Genomic DNA, 20,966 nt, shown 5'->3' with positions numbered 1-20,966 from the left:
TGTTTGATGACCATTTTATATTTTGTTTACATATTGTTTTTCCATTTTAATATTAGTACAGTTATTAACTGAACTATAGAGCATAGGTTTTAGGAGGGTTTTTTGTCCCCTGGCTTTTTTTTTGGGATGGAGTGTCGCTCTGTCGCCAGGCTGGAGTGCAGTGGCGCGATCTCGGCTCACTGCAACCTCCGCCTCCCGTGTGCCCTGGTTTTTAAGAGTTTGTTATATAATTGGGCTATTAGCATTTTGTCTCTAGTATATACTCCAAATACTTTTTCCATATTTGTCAGTTGGTTTGTTTATAATGGGTTTTTTTCTTGCCATGCAAACATTTTTGTTTTTATGTAAATTGATCTGCCTTTTCTTTCATTGCCTCTGGATTTTGAGTCATTATATAGGGAAAGGCTGTAATTGAAAGTTACCCTCTAGCACTTGTATGGCTTGAATTTTTACATTTAGATCCCTAATCCAAATGTAATTCGTGGGAATATGTTGTGAGATATGGATCTACTTTTATTTTTTCCCTCAAATCATTACCAAGTTAGAATCCCAGCTATACAGTTCACTAGCTCTGTGACCTTGGACAAGTAAATTAACTTTTGTATCTTTGTCAACTCATCTCTAGAGAGGAAATGATAGAATGAAGCTCATAGGTTGTTATTAGGATTGCTTGAGATGATAAGTGCCTATCACAGTCACATGGTAAGCCCACGATAAATTTTAAGTATAATGTTAATCTATAGTTTTTACACATCAGTAAGACAAACATCAGAACTCCAATTGAGCCAGGCGGGGTGGATCACTTGAGGTCAGGAGTTCAAGACCAGTCTGACTAACATAGTGAAACCCTGTCTCTACTAAAAACGCAAAATTAGCCGGCTGTGGTGATGCACACCTGTAATCCCAGCTACTTGGGAGGCTAAGGCAGGAGAATTGCTTGAACCTGGGAGGCGAAAGTTGCAGTAAGCTGAAATCATGCCACTGCACTCCAGCCTGGGCAACAAGAGCAAAACTCTGCCTCAATAAATAAATAAATAAACACTCCAATTGATAAATATCCGGAGAATGTAAATAAACTGTTAACTAATGAAGGGAAATCCAAATAGCCACTGAACATGTCTAAAATATTCTACTTCATTAAAAATGCCAAGGGGTATAAAAGAAGACAACAAACAATGAGGTCCCATTTTTCATTTTTCAACTTGGCAGATATATTGAAACCATTTCATAGGCAGTGCTTATGAGGAGACCATGAGACAAGCACACTCATATTGTAGGTAGACATGTACATGGATAGAACTTAAAAAACAATTTGGCAACATAGTTCTGCCTTTTTATTCTATGATTTCATTTCCAGATCTGCCTTAAGGAAATCATCAGAGCTGCAGATTAAATTTATTAAGTTCACTACATGAGGTGTGTGTGTGTGTGTGTGTGTGTGTGTGTGTGTGTGTGTGTGTGTGTGTATGTGTGTGTATTTTTTCCATTATATTGAAGAATTAATAACAATATAAATTTCCATGAACAGAAGACTATTTAATAAAGTTTAGTGCAATCATATATTATCTATGATGTACCATAGAGAAAAGATTTGAAGAAAATTTACCAAAATGTTGATAGTTTTTAGACATTATAGGTGGTTTTTATTGTCTTCTACAATGAACATATATTAATCAGAAAAAAAACAGTAAATATTATTTAGCGGGATTAAAATTACCATTTGAATTTTTGGATTCTTTGGACATGAGAGCATGCATGTTAAGTTTTGATTAGTGTTTAGCCTCACACTATGCATCCAAAAGCTGAGACTTATTTCATTGATTTCCCAGGAAACTTCCATCAGTATATTTCGAAATTCCTTGGATTAGCACAGCAGAATTTGTATATATTAATGTATTGGAAATGTAGAAGACATTTTTTTAAAAAAATCTCCACATGATTAGCAACTTGGACCATAGATGGTGATTGGTCCAATTTTCTTGCAGTAAACACTGTACATTAAAAGGATTTTTTTCTTTATTTTCCTTTTTGCAGGTTTTTGTCTTTTTTTCTTTTTTGGTATTATTTTGTTTGCCACTTATTCCTAAAATTCATATTGCTATTAACCGTACACATCTTTCCATGTTCTTATAATAATCTACAAACATCTCTCCCTTTCTGTAGCTCTCTCTGTCACACACACGCACATGCACACACGCACACACACACACACACACGCTGTGCACTCTCCTGAAGCATGTGTGTACATACATACATATGTGAGGGGTTTTATGACTGTTTTACCAAATTGTGTTCTTAATATATACAATGTTGGCTTCTTTTTAGCCATTCAGAAGTTATTTCAGTCATGGAATGATCTCTAGCCATATAACTGAAAACAGGTAAGTTTCTTTCTTGGGGAAGAAGGGCGAATGGTGATAGAGAAAATGGAGGTGGCAAAGGGGTTGGCTGTGGGGGTGCATTCAAGTTCAGAAGCTAGAGTCAGGAAAATATGGGTTGACTTTAGTTATCACAGGGTAAGAAATCTGTACTCTGTAAATGTGTCTGTTTCTCTGCTTTCATTTTTATTTTATTATTTTATAGTAAACTAGCTTTTGAAACACTGTTGTCAGCCAGGTGCGGTGGCTCATGCCTGTAATCCCAGCATTTTGGGAGGCCAAGGTGGGCAGATCACCTGAGGTCAGGAGTTCGAGACCAGGCTGACCATCTCTACTAAAAATACAAAAATTAGCCAGGTGTGGTGGCATGCGCCTGTAATCCCAGCTACTCGGGAGGCTGAGACAGGAGAATCACTTGAACCCAGGAGGCGGAGGTTGCAGTGAGCCGAGATCGTGCCATTGTACTTCAGCCTGGGCAACAAGAGTGAAACTCTGTTTCTAAATAAATAAATAAATCACTGTTGTCTGCTAAAATCTAAAGAAAGGAATTTTTAATTTCATTCCTGGCTCAGGAAAATGACAGGAAGCAAATGAAAATAAATAAATGGGACCTAACAAATGAACATGCTTCTGCACAGCAATAGAAATAATCATCAGAGTACACAGAGAATCCTCAGAATGGGAGAAACCATTTGCAAATTATGCATGTGACATATGCATAGTCCGAGGGCTGGGCAGGGGAGCAACAGTGGCTTGCAGGCAGTAAAAGGGATCAGGGTGTGAAGGTCCAGCCCCACGAAGATGGGTTCAATGAGGGTTCGAAAGTGTTTTCTCCCACATCTCTTTTGTCATGATCAGCAGGAGATACTTCCTCTGATGGATAGAGAGGACATTTCTTCTCTCTTTTCTTCCCCCAATTCCAATCCAATCTAATAGTGAAACAAAGTACCCTGGCTAGGACTCAGAGTCATCTTTTTCTGCCCAAAGTGTCACCTAGCTTGAATTAAGCTTCAGAAAAAAAATCAGCCATGCTTACTTTTAAAAGCCTTGTTTGCCTGTAGCTTAAGGTAGTATTTTTAAGAGTAGTGAAAAGAAATGCAAATAATTCTTTACATGGCGCTCACTGAGGGCAATTTAGGAAGAAGATAGAGGATAGAGTCATCAAATATTCACTGAGAACTACGACATACCAATCAAGAGAGATTCATGGTTTAAAAAAAGGAAGCAAATATGATTACTGCCCTCATAAAGTTTATAGGGTAGTGGAGAAAAAGACATTAATCAAACATCTTAACAAAGAAATCTGTTATTACCAACTCTGATTGGTGCCATGAAGGAGAAAAGAGCATAGTACTTTGAAGCCCATCACAGGAGAGCCCAGCCCCCTGCAGGAGAGAGCTGAATAATGAACAGAGATAAATGGGAGTAGGAGGAAGAGCAGAGACCCTGAGACAAGAACATAAGGGACATCAGAGAAAATTATCTTGGCTGGAGTATTGAAGTTGGAGTTGAGTGGCCTTCTATGGAGCTGAGAAAGTTCACCAGATCATACAAGTTCTCTTTAGCCATGTTCAAGATTGTGGCCCTTCTCCAGAAAATAACATAAAGGCAGTAAATTGGCACGTTTAAAAGATTATCACCTGGGAGGCCGAGGTGGGTGGATCACGAGGTCAGGAGATCAAGACCATCCTGGCTAACACGGTGAAACCCCATCTCCACTAAAAATACAAAAAATTAGCCAGGCGTGGTGGCGGGTGCCTGCAGTCCCAGCTACTCGGGAGGCTGAGGCAGGAGAATGGCGTGAACCTGGGAGGTGGAGCTTGCAGTGAGCCGAGATCGCGCCACTGCACTCCAGCCTGGGCGACAGAGCAAGACTCCGTCTCAAAAAAATATGTATATATATTATCATCACTGCAATGTAGAGAATCCATTATAGGAGGGCAAGAGTGGAAACAGGGAAACAGTGAGGAAGTGTTGCAGTTGTCCAGGGAAGAAATCATGGCAGCATGGACTAAGGTTGTGGCCATGAAGATGGAAGAAAATGGTTAAATAGGAAGGCTTTTGAGAAGGTTAATTAGATTTGAAGGCGGAGGAAGCAGAAGTCAAGGAGGCCTTTCAGATGGCTGGGTACCTGGGTGGATTGTGATGCCGTTTATTTCCTGCAAGAACTGGAAGGGGAGCAGACATAGGGAACATCATCACAGAGGAGAGGAGGGAGCAGCAAGCTGCAGGTAAACCCTGGGACTATTCGGAGACCAGGTGGAAGAGGAGGGTGACTGACTGGGGAGACTGAGGGGAGTGCAGTCTTGCACTGCAGTTCTTGCAGTGGAGGGTGGGAGGGAGTCAAGTGCTTCTCAGAGACCAAGGAAGGAAGGAAGACCTGAAGACTATCTGTTGGATTTGCTGTATGCTACATGGAAGTCACTTGGTGACTTTGGCAAGAACTCTCTGGGTGAAATGACTGAGGAGGCTGATTAGAGTGGGCTGAGGAGTGAGCAGAAAGTAGGGGAGAGGAAAAGTTCAGCCAAGAGGACAGGGAGGAAGGGGGTGGGTACAGAGCCAGGTATGTGTGGTATTGAGAAAATTTGCAACCCTCCTGTGCTCCTTCCCTATTGAAAGTTACTCAGGAATTGGTGACTGCCCTATTGTCTGTCTAGTCCAAGTATCATAACTGTCATCCTTTAAGACTCATATTTCTATTAAAATTCTATTTTATAATACCGGAGTTTTGCTCTATCACTGTATCATGGACAGCAAGCTTATGGAACTTATTCCTCAAAAAGTGGGACATGCTGAAAATACAAACCTAGCTTGAGTTTAGTTATGTCCCTAAATGTTAACTGATCCCTGTGGGTCAGTAGGGAGACAGCTGGCATCCGTTTCCAACCAGCCAAGGATATTCGGTCGACTGTACTGACTGACCACTTTGCTCAGGCCGCAAGTGTCCCTCAGAAAAGCCTGAGGACTTATTAAGGTCATGGAAGGTTGCCTTGGCCAGGAACTCTTTTCTAATCACATGTTTTTGACTTCCCTCTCTAGCCCTAACCGGCAGCCATTTGTTCTCTTTGGTAATCACTCCACACGAGAAAACCTGAATGCTGGCAACTTTAACTTCCCTTCTGAAGGACATCTGGTACGAAGCACTGGTCCCGGCGGGAGCTTTGCCAAGCACATGGTAAGTGGCTGGACTGCCTGGTGCTTGATTAGTTTTATTATCAAGTTGTGGGGGTGGGGTGGGTGGGGGGAGCTAGACAAAAAGAACCTTTTCCAGTTAGTGTGTTGATTTAACCCTGAATTTGAAGTTGTTCTAGAGTGAAAAGAAGTGATTAGAAACTGTTTGTACTTTTTTTATAGTACAAACTAGGTATGATTTGAAAGCATCACATTTAATTTTGAAATACTTGAAGGAAAAAGGTTAAGAACGTAGTTTCACAAACCAGTCTTTAAGTTGTCAGAGTAATATTGTCAATAGAATTTTTAAAATTCAAAATAATTTGAAGATAGTTATTCCAAGCCTAAGTTTGTTATGCCTTGACTGTTAACATTTAAGGACAGAAGCCAACCTTGATGATCATTGTTTATTGAGAGTGCCAGAGAGAAGATTTTTGCATTTGGTGGCAGATTGTCTGCTACATTCTTTTAAAGAAAACATTAGACCTGAATATGAGACTTAGATTGTGAAAGTCTATGCTATCTCAGTGGAATTTTGAGTATTTTCAAAATGTCTCTGGCAATCAGGAAAGCTGTGGTTAGTAGGTACTAGTTTTTTTGTTTGTTTGTTTATTTTTTGAGACAGGGTCTCACTCTGTCACCCAGGCTAGAGTGCAGTGGCACAGCCTTGGCTCACTGCAGCCTTGACCTCCCAGGCTCAGGTGATCCTCCCACCTCAGCCTCCTGAATAGTTGGGACCACAGGCACATGCCACTGTAGGCTTCCTGTCTTCCCTAGGAGAGGGGGAAATAGCTAAGAAACACTTTTGATGATCACAGCCTGGAGACACAGGCCTGCTAAAAGACTGAGATTTAACCGTAAAATCATAGAATGTTTCCCTCCCCCATTACCTTAGCAGAGGTCTACAATATAATAGGGGGTTACTGCTGACAGAGCTGCAAGGTACATCTAAGATGGAGTTCACAGGGAACCCAAAGAAGAAAAATGGGGAAGAAAAATAGAAGAATACTAGAGGGATTTGAAGTCCCTGGCACCTACAGCTTCAGAAAACATTAAACAGAACCTAACTCCCAGCCAGATTAACATAAAATCCCACATTAAAAGTCTGTTTCTTCAGTTCCTGTTACCTGATACATCATTTTTGGCTTTCAACAAAAAATTACAAAGCATGCTAAAAGGCAAGAAAAAACACTATTTGAAGAGACAGTGCGACTATCAGAACCAGACTCAGATATGACTCATATTTTGTAATATACAGATTATTAAAAATGACTATGATTAATGTTAAAGGCTCTAATGGAACACATAGGCAACATGTAAGAAGAGATGAATAGTGTAAACAGGGAGGTGGAAACTTGAAGATAGAATCAAAAGGAAATTCTAGGATTCAAAAGCACTGTAATAGAAGCAAAGCATACCTTTAATGGGCTTATCAGTAGAGCAGACATATCCATGGAAGGAATCAGTAAGCGTGACATTGGTCAATAGAAAATTCCCGAACAGGAGTGTGAAGAGAAGAAAACAATGAGAGAAAAAAAAAATCATCCAAGAACCAGCCGGGCACAGTGGCTCACACCTGTAATCCCAGCACTTCAGGAGGCCGAGGCAGGTGGATTGCCTGAGGTCAGGAGTTCGAGACCAGCCTGGCCAATATAGTGAAACCCCATCTCTACTAAAAATACAAAAAATTAGCTGGGTGTGGTGGCGGGCGCCTGTTATCCCAGCTACTAGGGAGGCTGAGGTGGGAGAATCGCTTGAACCCAGGAGGCGGAGGTTGCAGTGAGCTGAGATCGCACCATTGCACTCCAGCCTAGGCAACAAGAGCAAAACTCCGTCTCAGAAAAAAAAAAAAAAAAAAATCATCCAAGAACCCTGGGACAATTTCAAAAGGTATAATGTGCATGTACTGGGAATACCTGAAGAAGAAAGAGAAGGAAACGGAAGAAGTACTTGAAGTAGTCATGGCCAAGAATTTTCCAAAATTCATGACAAAGACACAAAACCACAGACCCAGGAAGCTTAGAGAACACCAAGCAGGATAAATCCCAAAATATCTATGTGTAGGCCTATCCTATTCAAACTTCAGAAGATCAAAGACAAAGAGAAAATCTCTTAAAATGCCAAAAGGGGAAATAAAACACCTTACCTATAGAGGAACAAGGATGAAAATTCCAGGGGACTTCTTATCAGAAACCATACAAACAAGAAAAGAGTGAAATGATATTTTAAAGTGTTGAATGAAAAAGCACACCAACCAAACCACATTTTATATCCAACAAACTTATCCTTCAAAAGAAAAAGGAGGAAACAAAAGAGAAATACTTTCTCAAACAAAAAAATTGAATTTATCACTAGCAGATCTGTCCTGTAAGAAATGTTAAGTGTTCTTTATGTATGTGTGTGTGTATGTATGTATGTGTGTATATATATTATTATATATACACTATGTATGTGTGCATATATTATATATTTTAATTATATATAACGTAATATATAATATGTATTATATATGTTATGTATTATATATTTTATATATTATATATATATATCAGAAGCTTGGATCCACATAAAGGAAGAGCATCAAAGAAGGAATAAATGAAGATAAAATGAAACCTTTTATTTTTCTTATTGCTAATCTAAAAGATAACTCTCTAATAATAGTAACTGTATAGGTGATTACAGCATGTAGATGAGTGAGTGGCAGCAATGTAATAAGACACAGGAGGGAGGACATGGGAGTACTCTGACACAAGGTTTATGCACTACACACAAAGGGATAGAGTGTAATTTGAAGGTGGACTTCGATTAGTTATTAATTTATATCACAAACTCCAGGGAAACCACTAAAAATGTCCATGTTTCAATTGAAAAATCACTAGAGATCTCAAACTCAATGAGAAAAGACAGTCATCAGTGCCAGCACTAACAGAACACAGATGTGAGAATTAACTGACAAGGATTTTAGAGCAACCATCATAAAAATACTTCACGAGGTCAGGAGATCAAGACCATCCTGGCTAACACAGTGAAACCTGGTCTCTACTAAAAATACCAAAAAAAAAAAAAACAAAAAAAAAGAACCTGGGCGTGGTGGCACATGCCTGTAGTCCCGGCTGCTTGGGAGGCTGAGGCAGGAGAAGTGCTTGAACTTGGAAGGCGGAGGTTGCAGTGAGCCAAGATGACGCCACTGCACTCCAGCCTGGGCAGCAGAGCAAGACTCCGTCTCAAAAAAAAAAAAACAACTTCAGTGAGCAACTACAAATACCCTTGGAGTAAATGATAGAAAGTTTCAACAACGAAATAGAAGATGTGTAGAAAAACCAAATTGAGGCCAGGCGTGGTGGCTCACGCCTGTAATCCCAGCACTTAGAGAAGCCGAGGTGGGCAGATCACGAGGTCAGGAAATCGAGACCATCCTGGTTAACATGGTGAAACCCCATCTCTACTAAAAATAGAAAAAATTAGCTGGGTGTGGTGGCAGGCTCCTGTAGTCCCAGCTACTTGGGAGGCTGAGGCAGGAGAACGGTGTGAACCCGGGAGGCGGAGCTTGCAGTGAGCCGAGATCGTGCCACTGCCTCCAGCCTGGGCGACAGAGCGAGACTCCATCTCAAAAAAAAAAAAAAAAGAAAAAGGAAAACCAAATTGAGATTTTTAAAGTAAAAATAGACCAGGCGCGGTGGCTTACAACTTTAATCCCTGCACTTTGGGAGGCCGGATTACCTGAGGTCAGGAGTTCAAGACCAGCCTGGCCAACATGGCGAAACCCCGTCTCTACTAAAAATAGAAAAATTAGCCAGGCGTGGTGGCAGGCGCTTGTAAAATCCCAGCTGCTCGGGAGGCTGAGGCAGGAGAATCACTTGAACCTGGGTGGCAGAGGCTGCAGTGAGCCAAGGTTGCACCATTGCACTCTAGCCTGGGAGAGAAGAGCGAAACTCCATCTCAAAAATAAATAAATAACAGTAGTCAAATTTAAAAACTCAGTGAATGGGCTCAGTGGCAAAACAGAAATGAGAGAATAAAGAATCAATGAACTTGAAGATAGAACAATAGAAATCACCCATCTGAACAACAGAAAATAGACTGAAAAAAAAAACTGAACAAAACCTCAGAGAGCTGTGGGACTCTCACAAAAAATCCAAATATTCATATTGTTGGAGTACCAGAAGGAGAGGAGAACGAAGATGAGACTTAAAAAATGAAGAAATAAAGGTTGAAATTCCCCCAAATTTGGCAAAAAAAAAAAAAAAAACAAAAACGCAAAACTGTGAATCTGCAAAATCAAGAAGCTGAGTGAACCTCAAACAGGATTAAACCCCAAAATACCCACACCAATACACATCAAAGTCAAATTGTTGAAAACTACAGACAAAAAATATTTTTTTTTTGAAATGGGGTCTCGCTCTGTCACCCAGGCTGGAGTGCAGTGGCTCAATCTTGAATCACTGCAATCTCCGCCTCCTGGGTTCAAGCAATTCTCATGCCTCAGCCTCCTAAGTAGCTGGGACTACAAGTGCGCACCACCATGCCTGGCTAATTTTTGTATTTTTAGTAGAGACAGGGTTTTGCCATGTTGGCCAGGCTGGTCTTGAACTCCTGACCTCAAGTGATGCACCTGCCTTGGCCTCTTAAAGTGCTGAGATAACAGGCATGAGCCACCACGCTCAGCCCAAACAAAAAATCTTGAAAACAGCCAGAAAGAAATAGCACCTTACCCATAGGGGGAAGACAATTTTTTTTTTTTTTTTTTTTTGAGACGGAGTTTTGCTCTTGTCACCCAGACTGGAGTGCAGTGGCATGATCTCGGCTCACTGCAACCTCCACCTCCTGGGTTCAAGCTATTCTCCTGCCTCAGCCTCCCAAGGAGTTGGGATTACAGGTGCCCACCACCACACCTGGCTAATTTTTGTATTTTTAGTAGCGACAGGGTTTCACTATGTTGGCCAGGCTGGTCTCGAACTCCTGACCTCAGGTGATCCACCCGCCTCGACCTCCCAAAGTGCTAGGATTACAGGCGTGACCCACCATGCCCGGCCAACAATTTTTGAGTGAAAGTTGTATTTCTTTCTCATCAGAAACCATGAAGGCCAGAAGGAAGTGGCACCTATATTTCAAATGCTGAAAGAGAAGAGTTGTCAACCTAGAAATCTGTATCTAACAAAAATATCCTTCTAGAATTAAGGGAAAATCAAGACATTCACAGATGAACGAAAACTACAAGAATTTGTTGCTGGAAGACCTACCTAAAAGAATAACTTAAAGAAATTTGGTCTAAACAGAGAGGAAATGATAAAAGAAGGAATCTTGGAACATCAGGAAGGGAAGAGAACAAAATGATCAAGGCAGTGTACCACAGAATTATATACTTTAAAATGGTTTTATCTCAAAAGTTGCCAAAAAAATAAAAATAAAAAACCACCCAGTGTATATCCACATTATAGATTGTATTATAAAAGCAATTTCTGCTCTCAGGTCTGTATCACTCCAAAGCCAAAGAGTTTTCACTCATTAAGTCAGTAATCCTTGTTGAATGTCTAGTAAATGCCAGTCACTGTGCTAGATGAAGGGATAGTCATGATCTTTGCCTTTGAGGATCTCATAGACTTGAAAACTCCAGGGAAAGCCAGCTAGGAAATGTTTGAACCGAAACACATTGCTTCCTTTTTCCTTCTGAGTCGTGAATTTCTTATCATCCTGGGGCTGACTTGAGAGCCAGCTAGGAAATGTTTGGAGCAATAATTTAGATGTCCATTACACGCCTATTAGAATGGCTAAAATTCAGAAGACTGACAACACCAAATGCTGGTGAGGATATGGAGCAACAGGAACTCTGATTTATTGCCGGTGGGAATGCAAAAAGGTACAGTCACTTTGGAAGACAGTTTGGCATTTCCTTACAAAACTAAATATAGCCTTACCATAAGATCCAGCAATTTCGCTTTTTGGTATTTACCCAAAGAATTAAAAACTTATGTCCACACAAAAACCTGCATATGGATATTTATAATTACCAAAACTTAGAAGCAACCAAGATGTCTTTCAGTAAGTGAATGGATGCTATTTAGGGATAAAAAGAAAAGAGCTGTCAAGCCACAAAAAGCCATGGAAGCTCCAAGATTCTGATGTCTGTACTGAGTGGACAAAGAAACTATTCATTTGGAGAGGGAACACTGAGGAGAGTCAGATTGGATGTGTGTGAAGTTCACTTTAGACAGTGAGTTTGAAATGACCGTGAGACACCCCAGTGGAGCTGAGGCGGCAGTGGGTTAGATACATAAGTCTAGGGTTGCGAGGATTAGTCTTGTCTAGAAGTAAACATTTGAGCATTCCCTTGGTATGAAGGGGGTAATTAAAACCAAGGCTGTGGGTAAGATTATCTGGATATATATTGTTACTTATTTATTTCAAAATCTTCCTTTGAATACAAGGATAGGTACCTTTACACCAGACATCCAATGAAGCTGTCTTGAGGTTCTTCTTGTTTTTTATAGTCTTCCAGGAAAGCTCGCAATTGATTCAGCCTGACTTAAAATGTTTTTAAGAGTCGTGCTCTATGACACCAAGGTTTAGACAGTTACTTATTTTAACTACTTAAGACAATCCAAAGTTCTTTCCTGAGAGAAATGTTGACTCTGTGTATAGATCCCATTCTACTGGCCAACACCTGTGCTGGTGTGTTGATCTTCTGACTGAGATAGACTTCAGATTCACGTACTCAAGTGTACACAAGTGAAAGAGAACTGTGTCACTTCAAATCTGGGGTTTAAACCATGTGACTTTAACTCAATTCATAGCACAAACACTTGGCACCTTTAAAAAAAAAACCTTTAATAAGGGAAAATTGGAGATCCAAGGAACATGTTTTAATTGAGGAAATATGTATCAACCAGCAATTAGAAATACCTCCATGAGTTTTCATTCATTGTCATGGCAATATTGATGATGTTCACTATTAGTAACTTTTTTATAGCTTAGTTAGAATAAGTTCTCATTTCCAATCTGTAACTTGGATTCACAATGTTATAGAAAAATGCCTTGAATTCTAGTGTTGTTGTCTTAAACAATTGAGTAAAATAGAAGGAATGAGTATTTGTGTTGTATTTAGCTACTTTTTGTATATTGTACTTACTAATGTTCCTTTAGTTCTTGTGGTAGTATTTTTGCATTTTATACCTATTATTCTAGGAACCCTCATGAGATGTTGGATTTTCAGAAGAGGAAAGGACATCTATTTTATCTCTGTATCAATGAACATCTTAACAGGGAAGAAGAATAAAAATTTGAAAACCTAGAGGAACTTATTTTCTCTTCCGCAGGGTCTATGTACAGAGATGAAATACAAATGGTTGTGGGGATGTGGATAGCACCATCCTTTCCTGAATTTGGAGCTGTCCCACACCTCTGCCTGTCATGTCAGCCAGGGGCTTCACTGTGAAAGCTCTGGACTAAGTATTAATGACAGTCAAAACCCAAACACCTTGCTTCCTTTTTCCTTCTGAATCATGATTGCCCTAGCATCCCTGGGCTAACTGAGTATCCAACAGCACCCTCACAATATAGCCAAGGTTTAAACCACACACACACACACACACACACACACACACACACACCACACGCACACACGCACACACGCATGCACGCACGCACACGCACCAAAAGATACCTTTGGAAAAACAGTTAAAGATCATCTTTTCCCCTGTGTCTTTAAAAAATAATAAATCTGTTTTGTAGAAGAAAATTTATTTCTGGCCAGGTGCAGTGGTGCACACCTGTAATCTCAGCACTTTGGGAGGCCAAGGCGAGCAGATAACCTGAGGTCGGGAGTTTGAGACCAGCCTGGCCAACATGGCAAAACTCTGTATCTACTAAAAATACAAAAAAAAAAAAAAATTAGCTGGGTGTGATGGCATGTGCCTGTACTCCCAGCTGCTGGGGGTGCTGAGGCAGGAGAATCACTTGAACCCAGGAGGTGGAGGTTGCAATGATCTGAGATTGCGCCACTGCACTCCATCCTACATGACAGAGTAAGACTCTGTCTCAAAAAAAAAAAAAGAAAATTTATTTCCATTGACTCTATACTTTTTGTTTATCTACTAGTACATGCCTAAGTTATTGCCCCTTTTTATTTTTATTTTTTTCTGACATCCAGGTAGCCCAGTGTGTCTCACCAAAGGGACCTCTTGCTTGTTCGAGAACATACTTTTTTGGAGCTACTCATGTTCCTTACTTGGGTAAGTCCCTATAAGTTGTCATCTCATCAGCTTATCTAATGAATAGTCTGTCCCATGAACTAGAAGTTGACATACAATTCACTACTTTGCTTGGAAGCTCAGGTTACCCAATTTGTGGGCCTCCAGCTCCCTCTCTGATTACTTCTGGATAGTTGATATGTCTAACACGTTTCTCACAGAATGTGTTTCAAGAGGAAGATGATTGGTGCAGCCTACATTAAGTCTAACCATGTGTATAACCCTTTGCTAGGTGTCACAGGGGAGGCCAAGATGAATAAGACCTAGTTTAAGAAAGCAGGAGGTAGGGACCAGGAATGGCGGCTCACGCCTGTAATCCCAGCACTTTGGGAGGCCCAGGCAGGCAGATCACTTAAGGTCAGGAGTTTGAGACCAGCCTGGCCAACATGGCAAAACCCCATCTCTACTAAAAATACAAAAATTAGCCAGGCGTGCTGGTGCACACCTGTAGTCCTAGCTACTCAGGAGGCTGAGACACCATAATCGCTTGAACTTGGGAGGTGGAGGTTGCAGTGAGCCAAGATTGAGCCACTGCACTCTAGCCTGGGCAACAGAGTGAGACTCTGTCTTAACAACAACAACAAAAAAGCAAGAGGTGGGGTCCGCAGTGGGAATTTGGATGACTCAGCCAGGTGCCCACTGGACTGTTCTTGTGAGGAAAGTGAGAAGAGGCCATAATAAAAGGGTACTTAGGAGCAGGAGCATGCTGTGGGGCCATCCAGAAAGGCTAGGCTTGCTGGGGCTGCCCTGCTTACTGGGGTAACCAGAAGTTGCAGGTATCCAAAGACACATGGAAAAGAACCTATGGAATGAACGCAGGTCTCAGCATTGCTACACAGAGGAGAGTACGTCAGGAACCGTATTTTATTCTGGATGATGTTAAATAAGCCAGGAAACTCTGGAAAGAAGCATAACTTGGGTCAGGTAATTAAGGAGATAAAGCAAGAGGTAGAACTGAGCCTGTTTACTGATGTCTCGAAGTTTAAAAAATTAAAAATAAAAACAAAAACATTCCAGAACCTAAGATTCCACACATCTCTGGTATTTAGTGGTGTTGCTGAGTGGGTTGTAAAAGTGGAAAATGCGGGTGAAGGTTCAGGAGGCTATTGGGAATGGCCGGGTTCCACTGTTGTTGGTGTTTGTACTATATTTAACTTAAAAGAAAAAAGTAGGCTGGGCATGGTGGCTCACGCCTGTAATCCTAGCACTTTGGAAGCTGAGGTGGGTGGATCACTTGAGGTCAGGAGTTTGAGACCAGCCTGGCCAACATGGCAAAACCCCATCTCTACTGAAAACACAAAAATTAGCGGGGCATGGTGGCGTGCACCTGTAATCCCAGCTACTCAGGAGGCTGAGGCAGGAGAATCGCCTGAACCTGGGAGGCGGAGGTTGCAGTGAGCCGAGATTACGCCACTGCACTCCAGCCTGGGCGACAAAGCTAAACTGTGTCTCAAAAAAAAAAAAAAAAAAGTGTAGTTCTTGACAATGCCTTCCAGGTAAATTAAGCATTTCTAGCTTCCTTGTTAAGTGTTTGCATATCCTGTGCTCTTGTCACATTCTTAGTGGGCCTCTTTCACAGGTGGTGACAGCAAGCTGCCCAAGAAAACTGAACAAATGTAAGTCTTCATATTTTATTTTTTCTTTCTCAAAGTTGAGTTACTCAGTTGTGACTGTCCTGTGTACTTCCTTTTGAGATCAACAGTGATTAAGACATCTGCTTTTGCTGGGTGTGGTGGCGCACACTGTAATCCCAACATTTTCGGAAGCTGAGGTGGGAGGATCACTTGAGACCAGGAATTCGAGACCAGCCTGGGCAACATAAGCAGACCCTGTCTCTACAGAAAATAAAAAATTAGCCAGGCATAGTGGTGCACACCTGTGGTCCCAGCTACTCAGGAGGCTGAGGTGGGAGGATCACTTAAGCCTGGGAGGTCGAGATTTCACTGAGCTATATGATTGCACCACTGCACTCTTGGCAACAGAGGGAGACTGTGTAAAAAAAAAAGAAGAAGAAGAAGACATCTGGTTTATGACATGAACATTACTGTGTTGTTTCCCAAGTTTCTCTCAGCTTGGAATTCAGGCCAGAGAACCTTGCCAGCTTTGCCATCTGCTCTTCTCTCTAGATTTCAGAGACTTCTTACCTGCACACCCATGCATTTATGATGTAACTCTCCTTGATATGTTTTCTATATAATGCATTTTTAAATTAAGGGCTTTTCTAAGAATAAACCATCCTGAAATCCATTGGGAGAATCATGTGAAACCCCAACTGGTCTGAAGAGTGTCTTTCTCTGGATTTGACACTTAAGCCTATGGAACATAGTGAGAGGGTGTGAACACTGGCTGTGCAACCTCAGAAAGGGTCTACCTAGTGTTGACTTCTCTTCTTTCACATACAGCAGGAAACCAAAGACAGAAAATAAACTCATTAGTGCTGAAACTATTAAATTCCAGAAAGCATTGTCCTTCAGCAATATGGACATAATGGAATTTTATTATTACCTAATTAAATACTGCAGCTTAACTTGGTGGGGTCTAGATCAACACTTCCCTGTGACCAGCAGTGAGAGGCTACAAAGGATTATCTAAAGATCTCTTTAAAATATAGGTTCTCCAGGCCCAATCCCAGGATTACAATCAGAATTTCTAGGGCAGGGCCCACAAAGTTGTATTGGGAAAAATATAATAGAAGAAATATAATCATACTATAGAAAATATGGAATTAGAGAAACGAAATTAAGATCAGCTATAATTCCTCCTGTCTGGCACTACCCATTAGTATCTTAATTTATATATTTCTGGGACTGAGCGCAGTGGCTCACCTGAAATCCCAGGACTCTGGGGGGCCGAGGCAGGCAGATGGCTTGAGCCCAGGAATTCGAGACTAGCCTGGGAAACCCTGTGGAACTCTGTCTCTACAAAAATTAGCTGGACATAGTGGCACACGCCTGTATTCCCAGCTACTTGGGAGGCTGAGGCAGGAGGATCATCTGAGCCTGGGGAGGTCAAGGCTGCAGTGAGCTGAGATCACACCACTACACGCAGCCTGGGTGACAGAGTGAGTTCCTGTCTCAAAAATGTGCGTGTGTGTCCAGGTGCAGTGGCTCACACCTGTAATCCCAGCACTTTGGGAGGCCAAGGCGGGTGGATCACATGAGGTCAGGAGTTCAAGACCAGCCTGGCCAACATGGCAAAACCCCGTCTCTACTAAAAATACAAAAATTAGCCAAATGTGGTGGCACATGCCTGTAATCCCAGCTACTCAGGAGGCTGAAGCAGGAGAAGTGCTTGAACCTGGGATACAGAGGTTGCAGTGAGCCGAGATAGCGCCACTGCACTCTAGCCTGGGTGACAGAGCAAGACTCTATCTCAAAAAAAAAAAAAAAAAAGGAAAATTGTGTGTGTGTGTATACGTGTGTGTGTATGTGTATGTATACGTATATATCTTTCTGGGCTTTTAAAAAAAGTATTAAGCTGTAATCATAGTGTGTATGTAGTTCTTTTGTGGGTTTCCTTTCCTTAGCAACAAGTCAACCATTTCCTCACGTTGGTGGGTGTAGTCTTACCTTGTGCCTGCTTGTACTTCTGTGCCAGCGCTGCTTAGCCACTGTCCTGGATCCTTATGCTAGACCCTTAAACATTTTGCCTAAACCAAATCCATTGATGCCCCATGTCAGGGACTGGTATTGAGTGGTAACTGGGTGCACATTGGGAGATTTGCCAAATCACAGATCCAGTGGAACATGTGGATTCAAGTGAAAGTGACAACAGAGGCCGGGTGCAGTGGCTTATGCCTATAACCTATAATCCCAGCACTTTGGGAGGCCAAGGCAGATGGATCACAAGGTCAGGAGTTCGAAACCAACCTGGCCAAGATGGTGAAACCCCGCCTCTACTAAAAATACAAAAACTAGCCAGGCACGGTGGCAGGCGCCTGTAATCACAGCTACTCAGGAGGCTGAGGCAGGAAAATCGCTTGAACCCGGGAGGCAGAGGTTGCAGTGAGCTGAGGTCGCACCAGTGTACTCTAGCCTGGGTGACAGAGCAAGACTCCATCTCAAAAAAAAAAAAAAAACAGAGCCATGCAGGCTTTTTAATTTTATGGGTCAGCGGCCATGTGGCTTGTGTATTGATCTCCTATGTAAGGATCAGTATAGGAGAAGACCAAGCAAGGGGAAGGCCTGACCAGTGTTGGTACCGAGTGATGTTTGAATCAGCTGAGGAGGGGGATATCTTTGCATGTCTTTGGGTTTGGCATCTTTAAATGCACCCTTAGTGTCAAAGTGTAGAGGATTCTGGTCTCACCTGGAAGGGGCCAAGCTCATTCACATCTCTCTGCCAGGCCCCTTCCAGGGTATACCCTCTGCCCTGCCCTTGCCTGGCCAGAAGTCTTCAGGATATGTTGATACTTGGAGCTGACATGTCATGTCCTGCATGTGGTGCAGGAGCCAAGGAGGAAATTGAAGGAGGTGGCAATGTGATGTGGCACAGTGGAAAAGCACCAGGCTGAGAGCAGATCTGAGTTTGGGTCAGCCATGAATTTTCTGTGACTTAATAGACAACATATTCCACTTCCAGAGGCCCTTATTGCTTCTTCTATAAGATGAGAGGATTAGACCAAATCATTTCTGTGTTTTTTCCCACTTTCAAACTCCTATCACCTTCCTTTACCTGATTCCTTTACAAGATTCTTATGGGCTTAAAAATAGACACATTTTTAGGTGAGACCTTGTCAGTTCCTTGCCAGATGCCTCTCCTGGCCTTTCAGGGACCCTTGGATGAGCCCCTTCTCTTCGTAAGTGTCCTAAGAAGAGCCTGCACCTCCTTCCTCCAAGGCAGTGGTTCTCAACCAAGGGCAATTCTATTGTACCTCCCTCCCCCATCTTTCCCCACTCCCAGGAACATTTGGCAGGGTCTGGAGAAATTTTTGATTATCACAACTGGAATGCTACCAACATCTAGTGGGTAGGGATGCTGGTTAGCAGCCAGGGGTGCTGCCGAACATCCTACAATGCACAGGACAAACCCCCACAGCAAAGAATTATCCAGTCCTAAATGCCAAGGTGGAAAAACCACCTTAGGTGGTTCCCTGAAATGAACCAGACTGGTTTTTCTAGGGACCTTCGTGGCAGTCCATTCTGGCAGAGAAAAACCCAGCCCTTCCTCAGTCTGGTCATCTCTCTTCTCCCGCTGAGGTCTCCTACCCGGAGGTTCCAGTAATAGACCAGCCTTCAGCAGGTCTAGTGAAAAGACGATATGAAACTACAGTATGATTGGTCCCTGGGAAAGCAGCAAGTGGGTATGAGAACACTGAAGGAATTCCTGCTCTGTAGGTAGCTGTTCCTGCACATAGAGGAGTCAAGGAGTCTACACAGTTTTATTCTGTTTGGTTACAAACAGGGAGGGGCAGTCTCTTGAGCAGAATTCAGAGGAGCCGACTTTCCTTAAGGTGATTTAACAAAAGCAAAGTATAAGTCAAACCAGGGATATGACTTTTTTTTTTTTTTTTTTGAGACAGGGTCCCACTCTGTCACCCAGGCTGGAGTACAGTGACACAGTCTTGGCTCACTGCAGCCTCTTCTGCCTCCCAGGCTCAAGTGATCCTCCAGCCTCAGGCTCCTAAATAGCTGAGAATACAGGCACACACCACCATTTCTGGATAATTTTATTTTTATTTATTTTTATTTTTTGTCGAGATGGGGTTAAGTCATGTTGCCCAGGCTGGTCTCAAATTCCTGGGCTCAAGCGATCTGCCCATCTCAGCCTCCCAAAGTGCTGGGATTACAAGCCTGAGCCACTATGCCTGGCCCAGGCATGTGACTTTTAAAAGGTTTAGAAATCAGTGGGTTATATTTTTGCCTTTTTTCATTCTGTTTAAAAATCAGTTTCTTAGGGGCTGTCATTTATGTGCATGCATCTTTTGACAAAAACCTCATGATGCTGTAATGTTAACCATTATTTTTTGTTTTTAAAGTAGGCTATTGTCCCAGATATATGCTGCTGTTATTGAGGCTGTTTTGGCTGGCATTGCATGTTATGCTAAAACTTCCAGTCTAACAAAGGTAATTTAAATACCATGTTTCCCTTTCTGTAATTATTATTTTAATGTAAAACATTCTATCCATGTGTTTCTTCTTTGGACATCTTGTAGTACTCACTTTTGTGCGAGCTTGGGCCTCTTTGACACCAGGCAGAGAGAAGCCCTGAGAGCACTGAGCTTCTGCTGCCTGTGACTGTGCTGCTGTTGTCTTATGGATGACAACTAATCGGTGCTTCTTTGTAGACATCTGGTTGTGTTAAGGAAAAATCATTCTGTAGCACATTGTTTTGTTGAATAGCTTAAACAAAAGTCTTTTAAAAGCTAAAAAAAAAAAACCAAAAAGACAACTTTAGATTATTCTACTGTGAAATCTAATAAAGTTTGGTAAGTTTGATTTCCTATAACTCAGTGTTTAAAAAAAATAGCTAAAGATTAGAAAATCTGACTTGCTTTTCCTAGACAAGCACATGTGTTCCCGTTCTCTGACCATTATCTTCCTTGCTGTTTTGCGGTTAACCTGCCCTGCTGAGTTGGATTCCTATATCTGACCCAGTAAGGAGATGAGAAGAGTCAGCTTGATGCCTCCCAAATGCCAATAGGACCTTTTCTGAAGGAAGCCATTTGACATTGGAAAGGTTGTGTATGATGTAGATATCAGAGAGACTGTAGCTGTAGTCACCAGCTCCTTGCCATCTCCCCTCCTCACTGAACTTGTATCCCTGGTACTGACTCCGGATTTCTCAGCCCTTTAGCCACTACATGCAGAAGGCTTATCCAAAGCAGTGGGGTGTCCTTCAATATCAGTTCTCACATCTTTGTTTTTTAACTGATCTTTTGTAACTCTTGCTATTTGGATATTCTTAGCATCTGGCTAAAACTCTGAGGGCAGAGGTTCCTTCCCAAGAGCCAAGGAAGAGGGGAGGAGAAAGCACTTTTACAGACCTCACATTCCACTGCTGTCATCACAGCTGGTCACTTCTCTGGATCCAGCACGTCAGGTTCCAGTGCACACCTGCCTGAATGCAGTTTTGTCCTGTAAACCTAGCCTGGAGAAAGCAGGCCCTTCTTTCCCTTAACATGATACTTTCACTTTAATCTATTCATGCCTACCAAGTAGTCACATAGATG

The 20,966-nt window shown here is 41.9% G+C and overlaps 1 protein-coding gene across 3 annotated transcripts in view; it reads left to right on the top strand.

Annotated features, from left to right (window-relative positions):
• Positions 1–20,966, top strand: part of DNAAF9 (dynein axonemal assembly factor 9) — a 158,364-nt gene that overhangs the window by 61,613 nt on the left and 75,785 nt on the right. For 2 of the 3 annotated variants that reach the window (NM_001009984.3, XM_047440081.1), the window contains exons 9-13: positions 2,326–2,381; positions 5,418–5,553; positions 13,696–13,777; positions 15,375–15,411; positions 19,773–19,860. In NM_001009984.3, coding sequence (NP_001009984.1) covers positions 2,326–2,381; positions 5,418–5,553; positions 13,696–13,777; positions 15,375–15,411; positions 19,773–19,860 — 399 coding nt within the window. The remainder of the gene's footprint in view (positions 1–2,325; positions 2,382–5,417; positions 5,554–13,695; positions 13,778–15,374; positions 15,412–19,772; positions 19,861–20,966) is intronic. The other variant, XM_005260684.5, reaches the window with a different exon arrangement.

Source organism: Homo sapiens, chromosome 20 (genome assembly GCF_000001405.40).
Source record: "Homo sapiens chromosome 20, GRCh38.p14 Primary Assembly".
Classification (NCBI taxonomy): Eukaryota; Metazoa; Chordata; class Mammalia; order Primates; family Hominidae; genus Homo; species Homo sapiens.
The sequence above is the reverse complement of the archived record's forward strand: the minus strand, read 5'-3'. Positions and strand labels throughout refer to the sequence as shown.